General features: G+C 40.3%; 1 long non-coding RNA gene across 1 annotated transcript, besides 1 other annotated feature; it reads left to right on the forward strand.

The window, feature by feature from the left end:
- The first annotated feature begins 534 nt into the window (after positions 1–534).
- On the forward strand, positions 535–10,012 carry LOC105376477 (uncharacterized). Its single transcript, XR_930791.2, has 3 exons — positions 535–1,982; positions 7,197–7,728; positions 9,259–10,012. It is a non-coding gene; the product is annotated as an uncharacterized LOC105376477 (long non-coding RNA).
- Positions 11,218–11,397: a silencer, noted in NCBI's record as "silent region_2265". NCBI's record gives its function as "represses an Ori minimal core promoter by ATAC-STARR-seq in GM12878 lymphoblastoid cells {active_cell/tissue: GM12878}" and the evidence as "EXISTENCE:reporter gene assay evidence [ECO:0000049][PMID:35858748]".

The following is an 11,737-nucleotide window of genomic DNA, read 5'->3' on the forward strand; positions in this document are numbered from 1 at the left end:
TGATTGTGTCATATTCCATGTGTACACGTACCACTTTTTAAAAATCCAGTCTACCATTGATAGGCATTTAGGTTGATTCCATGTCTTTGCTATTATGAGTGGTGCTGCGATGAACTTATCAGTGCATATGTCTTTACGGTAAAATGATTTCTATTCCTTTGGATGTATACCCAATAATGGAATTGCTTGGTCAAATGGTAATTCTGTTCTAAGTTCTTTGAGAAATTGCCACACTGCCTTCCACAATGGCTGAACTAATTTATATTCCTGCCAGCAGTTTATAAGTGTTCCCTTTTCTCTGCAACCTCACCAGCATCTGTTATTTTTTGACTTTTTAATACTAACCATTCTGACTGGTGTGAGATTGTATCTCATGTGGGTTTTGATTTGCATTTCTCTAATGATTAATGACGTTGTGCATTTTTTCATGTGTTTGCTGGCCACATGTATGTCTTCTTTTGAAAAATGTCTGTTCATGTCTTTTGTCAGCTTTTTAATGGGGTTGTTTGTTTTCTGTCTGTTAATTTATTTAAGTTCCTGGCAAAGATTCCATGATGAAGATGCCAAAAGCAATTGCAACAAAACCAAAAATTGACAAATGGGACCTAATTAAAGTAAAGAGCTTCTGCACGGCAAAAGAAACTATCAACAGAGTAAACAGACAACCTACAGAATGGGAGAAATATTTGCAAACTATGCATCCGACAAAGGTCTAATATCCAGAATCTTTAAGAAACTTAAAACTTTCATATGCACAGGAAAGGAAAAAAATTGTATTGACTCGCTTTATTGTGATAGTCACTTTATTGTGGTGGTCTGGAACCTGCAATATCTCCAAAGTATGCCTGTACAAGTTTTTGTAGGGCGATATTTTTCCATGTTTCTTTGGTATATATCTCAAGGTGGAATTGTTGGGTTATCTAAGTAATCATAAGTAGGTTTATAATATATATTCTAGAGATTGTAGGCTATTCTACCAAGAAACAGAGCTGAGGGCTTAAAGACCTGAGTTTGTCACTTTCCCACCTCTGTAAATTCTCCAGCGCCATCAGAAGCAGCCAGCTGCATTCTTAAGGCTTTGCCTTCCGGGCCACTCTGCTGCAAGCAACCACAGGTAATTACGGATTCATCACAGGCACTGGAAGACTGAAAGAACAAAAAGCAGATGCTAAGATAACCCTGAAATTATTCACACCAGGAAGAAACTACCATCCCAGGCTGAGAGAACAAAAGGGAAGGAATATTGCTATCAGGACCTTGGTGTTGTAGGGATTCCACTTAAACCGCTGAGGGAAATCTCTACACAGCTAGTACTGCAGCCTCTGAGAATAGGGTGCCATGTTCTGGAGATCAGACCTTCAGGGGGACATTTTGTACTGCTAGTGCCTAGACGCTAAGTAGGGTGTTGATAGTGGTGGACCCTCATATTTAAAGGAGGGTCTTCAGTCTAGCTGGTACCTGTACCTCTAAAAAGGAAGTCTGGCCATACCCTGGATGTCTGAGCTGGCAGCACAACCCAGTGGATATTCCAGTCACTCATGGGGCAGGGATTGTGCCCCACAGACGCTCGAATGGTCCAGAAGCACTGGCTCAGGGTGAGAAAAAAAGCATAGCCCACCTGGCTGTACAACTGCAAAGGGGATATGGTCCAGCTCCTGTGGACATCACTGAACAGGCACAGCATGGCAGGTGCTGGGAGCAGTCACACAGTGGGCAGCTAGAACCTTCTCCCTGCTGCTATGAGAGCAACACTGATTGGAACTGGACACTGTGGGGAGAAAAAAGCCTTTTTTGTCCACTTCCTACCTAGCCAATCTCCCCTGAATGCTTCCTATTGACAGAACCTAAAAGGAAGTCAGTTGGTGAGGGGACTAAGAAGTGGAGTTTGGAGATCTTCAGCTCCAAATGGAGCTGAGAGACCAGAGGGCAGAAGATGAAGAGCCAGAAAACCTGGATCCTGGCCCCAACCCAGCACTGACTGGGTGAGTAGACTTAAGACATTGCCTAACCTTCTTGTGCCTCAATTTCCTTATTTTAAAAAGCCGGGTACTATCACTGACCTTAGAAGTCAGCTAGGAAGATAAATCAAGCCAATATATGTATAAGTGCTTTATAAACTCTAAGAGCCATTTCAATGCAAGACATGGTGACGGCTGATCTGTGTTGCTGAAAAGCTGCGTAAGGGAAGTTTATATGCCCTAGGGTACACATTCACAGGGAAAATTATGTGAGTGAAAGATAAGTCCAAGGATGTGCAAACAGTAGGCAAGCATCATACCAACATGTGAAACCAGAAGAACAAAATACAGCATCAAATGTCTAAACCTGACCCAGACTCCAGGTGCAGGAGAAAGAGTGAATGAGAGCTTTGAGTTAGATGTCCCTGGTCCAAATTTGTTCTGGTAACAAGTGGGAAGGATAATAGGGAATCCAAGATTCAAGGGGGGCATGGTCATGCAGAGTGGGGGATCGGGAACTTGCTGTTCAAGCAGAGGGCAGTTTCTTGGCTTCTGGGGGCAGGTAATTTGCGGAGTCAGGCAGGGCTAAGCATTGCTGGAACAGCCTGGAAGAGGGAACAGTCATGCCTTCTCACTGGTGCTCTCCACCTTTGCTCTTGGGGCTGCCCTAGGTGGGTTTCTTTGGTGCTTTTACTGTTATCCTTCACTTTGTTTCTTCTGGGGACACAATGAGGACAAGCAGCCAGGATGAGTGTCTTGATGACAAAATGGACGAAGGCTGGGCGCAGTGGCTCACATCTGTGATCCAAACACTTTGGGAGCCCAAAGTAGGAGAATTCCTGAAGGCCAGGAGTTCAAGACCAGCTTGGGCAACATTGTGATATCCCGTCTCTACAAAAAAATTTAAACATTAAGCCAATCATGATGTCACACACACCTGTAGTCCCAGCTCCTTGGGAGACTGAGATGGGAGGATTGCTTGAGCCCAGGAGTTCGAGGGAACCATGATCATGCCACTGCCCTCCAGCCTGGGCAACAGAGTGAGAACATGAAAAAAATAAAAAAGGGACCAGAATCATAGTCTTTCCACGTCCCACTTTTACCGAATGGGCATTTTTGATCATTTATGAAGAGAAAATGTACTTTTTATGACATAAACCACTTCTGTAGAAGGAGTGGCATCTCTGTCCTTCAGTTATTGAAAAAGGAAGCTCCTCACCTCTGTCTGTGTCCAGATAGAGCGCTGCACACAATGATTCCCAGAGGCTCCTTCCTGATCCAGCATTGGGAACAATACACTCTCTGTCGTTTCCATAGGAGAAATCTCCGCCCCCAGCTATGCTCTGAGACATTTCCTTTTTCTCCTCTGACACACACATTACCAAACCTAGGGATTGTGTTCTTTCAAAATTTGCCCTCAACAAACTACCTGTATGCACCTAAACGAAACAGTTGACCTACTTACCTAACCCAGGCATGCCGGCCACCTGTGTTGTGCCAGTTCTATGATTGGTGATTTAAGTTGGCTTATCCTCTTTCACCCCACTGCTTGCTATAAATACGTCCCTATAACTTACACCAAGGCAGCAGGTGCCAATTAGAAAGTAGGTTAATGGCTTCAGAAGGCTTCTGGTCAGTGCTGCTAACAGAAAGAGCAAAGATCTCTTGTGGATCTCCAACAGAGAGCTTGTATATTATCAGACCAGCTGGAAATGTTGTTCCACCAAATGCATCTCTTTTAAGAGAATGGAGGAATTTTGAAGATAGGGATTGGTCACAGTTCATTCCTCTTCCTCTCCCGAACAAACCAAGTCCAGGAGTTCGTATGATGCCTCAATGCTTAAACTTTGAACAGTTCCATGAAGGAGTTCCCAGATCCACAATTTCTAGCTAGAAACTCTATGTGCAGGTAAGAGTGCCTCAGGAAGAAGAAACTACATGACTACAGAGAAGCTCGAGAGAGCAGTGGGAGGGACCCAGGTTTGAGATGATGAACTGAGCATGCATTAACTTGCCCTCTCTCCCCAAATCCCATTGCAATGATAAGAAATGACATTTTCGAAGAATAAATCCATAACAGTGATGGAAAGCAGGAAAAGGTGTCATAGGCAGATCAAAATTTATCTCCTAAGGTGTTTAAGAAATTAAATTGTCACTCACACTAATTGTAGTGAGTAAAATAATACAGATTAAAAAAAATCTCCCCCTACTTCTTTAAGGCCACCAGTGTTCACACCTGATATTTATATTTCACACACACACAGATGATAGGTAGATAGATGACTGATCAATCTATAGATAGACGATTGATCAATCTATAGGTAGGTAGTTTGGGAGGGTATGGTTTGTTTTTATATAAATATCACCTTATATAAAATGGATTTATAATACACTATTATTTTATAACATTTTTGTGACTTAATAGATCATGCATATCTCTTCACGTCAGTGCAGACAAGTCATACTCATTCTTTTTTAATTGCTGTATAATATTCCATGGCATGAATGTGTCCTAATTTATTCACCTTCTGCTATTGATGGGCACTCCAGTTGTTTTTAACTTCTTGTCATAATAAACAATTAGGCAACAGGCACTCCTGCACATTCATTCTTATGTATTAGCACAGTTACTTTGTAGAAGAGGCTCACAAAGATGGGACTGCTAGATCAAATATATGTGTGTGATTTATCTCTATAAGTATGCATAATTCATATGTTTGCTATACTACTTGATAATTCACACCTGAATATTATGACAAGTCACTTCTAAATATTTCAGCATGCCTCTCTAGGAATAGAGATTATCTTCTACACAGCTATAAAACCACTGCCATATCTAAGGTAATGTAAAATCATTTCATAATATCATCTAATAATTCAGTTCATATTCAAATTTTCTCCAATTGTCCTAAGAATCTCCTTTACAGTTTTCTCTTTTTGCTAACCAGGTTTCAATCTAGGTTAATGTTATTACATTTGGGTTTTACACCCCTTGGTCTCTTTTAGTGAAGAAGAGTCCTCTCATTTTTTTTCTTAAGACATTGGCATTTAAGGTGACCAGCCAAGTTATTTTGTAGAATGTCCCACATTCTGGATTGCTCTGATCATTTCTTTCCATTAAATCATTTAATTTTTCTCTTTACTTCAGCTATTTCTGAAACTGAAATTTAGATCTAGGGGCTTGATTAGATTAAGGTTACACATTTCTGGCAAGAAACACAAAAATAAATATACATGACATGAGATGTTGTATAATAAATACGTATTTTCAATTGTAATAAACATTGTCAGATTACTTCCCCCAAAGATTGTGTAATAGCATTGTGCATTTCCACCAGCAATGTCCATTTCTCTGCATCTTAACTGTCCTAGATATTACTGGGATTTTAATTTTTGCAAATTTGATGGATTCTTCAAAATGATATATCTCTGTTCATTTGCATTTTCTTGACCGCTATGGAGGTTAAATCCCTAATCATATGTTCCTTGACTACTGGGTAATTCACTTCTATGAATTTTGTGTTCACATACTATACTTGCTAGAGTAATGTAATTCAAAAGTAAAGAAAATTCAAACTTTTTATTTCTTATTCATGTAACAGTCCAGTGAGGGTGTTTTGTGCGCAGGTTTCCAGGAGATGATTCAGGGGTGTGGGCTCCTTTCATCCTGTGGTTTCACCATTCCCTGGAGCTTTGGGAAAAGGGGATAGAAAAGCAACACCCTTTCCTTAACCTCATTGACCCCGGCAATGACACAATCACTTACCTTGGCAAGAACTAGTCACATGACATCATTAGATAGGGAGGGCAGGGGCTCAGAAATCTGGCTCCTAGTTGGACAGATGCTTTTCAGAAATGGCATGAGAATATATGGCCATCTTGGCCACTTATCCTTTTGTCCATTTTTCCATTGGGCTGTCTTTTTTAGAAAAATTGTTAATAAGATTTGTATAATAGAATGGTTTACCATATGTATCCACTATATGTGCTATAAATATCTTTCCTGGTATATTATTTGTCTTTGAACTCTATTTAGTGTGTCTGTTGTTTATATATATATATTTATTTATTTTTCTCTGTGAAGATTCCAAAGTAGGATTCTATTTCATGTGCCTTTTGCTATACAATTGTTTTTAAATTGTATGCAGTCAAATACGAATATATATACACACACACATATATATGCACACATACACATATATAAAGTCATATTATATATTTTTTCTATCATATTCCTTCATTTATTGCTCCTGTTTTTTCTGTCTTACTAAGAAGTTACCCTCCAAATAATGCAAATACTATCTTGAATTTTCTTCTAGTATTTTTATTATTTAATGTTGTACCTTGCACCTTAACCTATTTGGCATTTTGTTTTTCATATAATACAAATTAAATTCTACATTTGTTTCTTTCTAAATGGATAGTCCTTAGTTAGCATTGTTTATTAAATAAGTCATCCTTTCTGGCCTGGCTTGAAATGCCACCTTTGTTTATATTAAATTCCCATATATTCATTAATTCAATTTCAACTTCTGTTCTCATCCACTGATTTTTCAACATTTATTCTTTCACATGAACTATGTAATGATTGTATGTAGTTCTGAAAAATGGGGAATCTACTGGAATCAAATTAAAATAACTGGGAATGACAATTTTTTAAAATTAAATCTTCCCATATAAGAACATGAGCTATCTCTCCATTTATTCATGCTTTATGTTAATAATAATTGACAGTTATAGAAAAATATATAAACAAAAGACAAGCTAAATAACATATTTATTTCTAAATACGTTATAATTTTTTTGTTTTTTTGAGACAGAGTCTCACTCTGTCGCCCAAGCTGAAGTGCAATGGCGTGATCTCTGCTCACTGCAAGCTCCGCCTGCCGGGTTCACGCCATTCTCCTGCCTCAGCCTCCCGAGTAGCTTGGACTACAGGCACCCGCCACCACACCTGGCTAATTTTTTGCATTTTTCGTAGAGACGAGGTTTCACCGTGTTAGCCAGGATGGTCTCGATCTCCTGACCTCATGATCTGCCTGCCTCGGCCTCCCAAAGTGCTGGGATTACAGGCATGAGCCACCGCACCTGGCCAATATGTTATAATTTTTAATGTATGAATGAAATATAAAACTTTTTAGCTTCCAACTTTTTACTACTAGCTCAAAGATATTAATTTTGTAAATTCACTTTTATCTGCCTATTTAATAAAATTTTCTTATTTAATTCTAATAGTAGGCTTACTTTGATGGTCTGGATATACAGGCATGTCATCTGAAATGAAGACATTGTTGTCTCTTCTGCCTACAGAACCACAGGGTCAGCTGTGCCCCTTCCCCTTTCAGTATATTCCCATATTACAATTTCTCCTGGATAAAACCAGAGAATGAGTCTCTAAACAAAGTAGGCAGAGAGCTGAAAAGAAGAGGCTTCAAGGAAGGAGATTCCCAGCATAGGCAATTGGTTACAGAGTGAAGGAAAGTAGAGAATAGGCAGAAAAAAAGGATTCCAGGATGGCTGAAACAACATCTTTAAAGACTGAAAAAGAAAAAAAAAACTATCACCATCAATTTCTATATCTAGCTCAACTATCCTTCCAGAATGAAAGCAAAATAAGGACACTTTCAGACAAAAAAAAGAGAAAGAAGATTTGTTTTCAGCAGACCTAGACTACAATAAATGCTAAATAGAGAAAGTTCTTCAGGATAAAGGCAAATTATAACAGATGGAAATCTGGATCTTCAGAAAACAAAGAAGAGCACAGGAAATGGTAAATATGGCGTATACACATAAGATTATTTTCTTCTCTTAATTTTATAAAATGCATATGATTATTCAAAGCAAAAATTAGGCAGTGGCTTGCGCCTGTAATCACAACACTTTGGGAGGCTGAGCCAGCAGGATTGCTTGAGCCCAGGAGTTCAAGATCAGCCTGGGCCACGTAGGGAGACCCAGTCTCTACAAAATAAAAAATCAAAATTAAAAAACCGGCAGGGTGCGGTGGCTCATGGCTATATTCCTGGTACTTTGGGAGGCCGAGGCAGGCAGATCACTTGAGGCCAGAAGTTTGAGACCAGCCTGGCCAACATGGTAAAACTCCGTCTCTAGTAAAAGTACAAAAAAATTAGCCGGGCACAGTGGCACACAGCTGTAATACCAGCTACTCAGGATGCTGAGGCAGAAGAGTCATTTGAACCTGGGAGGTGGAGGTTGCAGTGAGCCCTGATTGCACCACTGCACTCCAGCCTGGGTGACAGAGTGAGAATCTGTCTCAAAAATAAATAAATAAATATTTAAAAAAATTTTAAAAACCTAGCTGGGCATGGTGGCATATACCTGTGTTCCCAGCTACCTGGGAGGCCAAGGTAGAAGAATGGCTTGAGCCCAGGAGGCTGAGAGTGCAGTGAGCTATGATCATGCCACTGCACTTCAGCCTGGGTGACAGAGCAAAACCCTGTCTTAAAAAGAAAAAAAAAAGTTATTCTGGCCAGGCGTGGCGGTTTACACTAGTAATCTGAGCACTTTGGGAGGCTGAGGCAGGAGGATCTCTTGAGTCCAGGAGTTTGAGACCAGCCTGGGCAACACAGGGAGACCCCATCTCTTTTAAAAATAAATAAATAAATAAATAAATAAATAATTTTAAAAAGCAAAAATTAAAATATTATATTTTGGAGTGAATAATATACATAATGTATTACATATAATAACTGCAGCATAACACATAGGGCTGGAAAATACACTATACAGTTGCAAGATTCTTACATTTTATATCATCAGATACATATTAACTATAAGTAAACCACAATATGTGAAGAATATATACTGCAATCCCTACAACTTCTAAAAAAATACATTAGAAAGAAAGGATTTGAGCTTGTCCTTGAAGGTTGTAGGTGTGGCAGACTATATTTCTCCTTCCCCCGCCATAGGGGTGTATGTTGTTCCACCCAGTAATGTTGGCCTGGACCATGAGACTTTCTTTGATCAGAGGAATCAGAGCAGAAGAGCTAGTTCTGAGCCTAAACCTGAAGACACATTGTATGCTTCCATTCATGTCCCTGGGAGTTTCTACCCTTCACTATGAGAATAATGTGTGAATGTTGCTTAATTCTCAGACTGAAGCATATCAGCCCCAGCCTACCTACATATCCGCGAGTCCGGTGAGTGAGAAAGAAATACGTGCTGTTTTAGAACACTGAGATTTTAGGCCTGTTTGCGATTGCAGCAAAAGTTGATGAATGCAGTGGAATTTGAAAATGGGAACGGTAGTAAGAAGTAAAATTCATGCAATTCTCTTTAGGTTACTGATGTTACCAAACACAAAGTCCACTCCTGAAGCCCACTGGGATGTAAAATCCATGACTACAGAGATTTTGTGGGTCTTGTTCATCATTGCATATCATCGGCATCTAACACAGTGCTTGGCTTCTCAGAAGAAAAATAGAATTACCATTCAACCTAGTGATCCCATTTATAGGTAAGTACCCAAAGGAAAATAAATTGCTCTACCAAAAAGTTACCTGCTCTCATATGTGTATTGCAGCACTATTCACAATAGCAAAATTATGGGATCAACCTAGGTGCTCATCAACAGTGGATTGGATAAATAAAATGTGGTACATATACACCATGGAGTACTATGCAGCCAGAAGTAAGAATGGAATCATGTTTTCTGTAGCAACTGGAGCTGGAAGCCATCCTCCTAAGTCAATTAATGCAGAAACAGAAAAATCAAATACTGTGGGTTCTCACTTATAAGTGGGAGCAAAACAATGGAGACACATGGACATAAAGGTGAAAACAATAGACGCTGGGGCCTCCAAAAGAGAGAAAGGAGAGAGGAGAGGAAAGGTTGAAATATGACCTGTGGGGTACCATGTTCACTATTCAGGTGATGGGTTCGATAGAAGCCCAAACTCCAGCATCTTGAAATATATCCATGTAACAAACCTGCAATGTACTCCTGAAACTAAAATTAAAAAAAAAAGAAATAAAATAAAATAAAAACAGTGCTTGGTCCTTAAGAGGTATTCACTAATTCATTGTCCAATGAATGAAGTACTGTGAGGGAATGAGTTGTTGAATAAGAAGGGAATGGTTTGACTAGTCTGAAAAGCTAACCTGAGATAGGATAGGGACAGATTGTAAAGGCCTTGAATATCCCACTAAGGTGACTAAATTTGACTTAGTTGGTAATGAGACTTATGTAACAAGACCCATGTAAGACTTTAAGATCAATCAAGAGATGGTGTGTAGGACAGGTGGACAGGGATACTGAAGGCGACAAAACCCATTAAAAACCCACTATTGGAATTGTCCAAGCCAGGTGTGAGGTGGCACTGACAAAGGTAGTGCTAATAGAAAGGGGAGGAGAAATCATAATGAAATTCTCCATTGTTCCTGGCAACAAATTAAAAGTAGAAGGTGAAAGAGAATGGGATCCCAGGTTTAGCTTGGAGCCAGCAGCAGAACTGATCTCCAAGGGATGGGCGGCTTTGGGAAATATTAATTTTGACACCCCAAATGCCATATCTGAGTGCACAGTTGAAAACAGGGGCCTACACCTCAGGAGATGAGTTCTAAGTAGATTTGGGAATTAGAGATCACTCTTAACTGATTTGGCCGATCCTGAAGCAATAGCAACTGATGAAATAAATGGATAGATAGATAGATAGATAGATAGATAGATAGATAGATAGATAAAAATAAAAAATTAACTGATTTGGCCCAGTTCTCAAGTCATGAAAGAGGATGACACCACCAAGGGGTGAATGAGCATAGCAAGAGAGTGTGAAATATCAAAAAGAGAATCTTGAAAAATGTCATTTACACACACATAGTCCTAACAAGAGGAGAATAGTTGGTGCCAAGCAAAGGAAAACAGGGCAGGGCACACAGGCGCAGAAGCCAGGGGAGGAAGGTTGTCAAAATCCCACTTGAGGGGACCGGATGAAAAAGCGGCCAGTGGGTGTGGTAATTGGAGGTCGCCCTTAAACGAGTATTAATTCAAGGCGCAGGTAAGAAACATGGAGAAGAGCAGCGCAAAGCACGTGTGAGGCAAACGCTACGGCAGCACGTGAGGATGGTGGCAGCGAACGAAGGGCAGGATGGACCAGGTGTTGAGGGTGACAGCCCAGCTCGGAGAGGTTTTGTTTAGGGTAGGGGAGACCTGAGCACATTTGTAGAAGGCAGTGAAGCCATTGGAGAGAGATTGACTATGCTAAGACACAAGAGGGAGAGGAGATACCTGACTGGGCATAAAGGTCAAGAAGTCAAAAACGAACGGAAATGAGAGCCCGGTGCAACCTTAACAGCCTTAGAAAGGGAGCTACAAACAGCTGTGGTTTACCAGCACTGATGTTTCTCGACCACGCTTCAAAGCATAGCTTCAAGAGCAGGGTCGATCTTTCTTAATTACCCAGCTTCTGTGGCTATCATATATATAGCCTTGGGGCTGGAACAGAGGAGGGAGGCTCTTAGTAAAAGCCCTCGATGACAGTGGCAGTGTCATTCCCACTTTGCAGACATTCCATTCATTCTTACACTGTCTTTCAGCAGAACGTGGGACAGGTATTGTTGTGAGGGCCAGAAATGGGAGCTCTGATTTGGATGCCAAAATCAAAGTTAGGAAAGGGGCCAGTGTTTCCTGTTGCCCCCTAGATAGCCCCACATTGCTCTGCAAAACCGCAATAGTCACTTAACCCCCGGGCACTCACACCAGGGGAAAAGAATGCTAACAGTTCCAACAAAAATACTTGAACTCTCTTCAGTTCCTTGCA

The sequence above is a fragment of the Homo sapiens genome, chromosome 10 (genome assembly GCF_000001405.40).
Source record: "Homo sapiens chromosome 10, GRCh38.p14 Primary Assembly".
Lineage (NCBI taxonomy): Eukaryota > Metazoa > Chordata > Mammalia > Primates > Hominidae > Homo > Homo sapiens.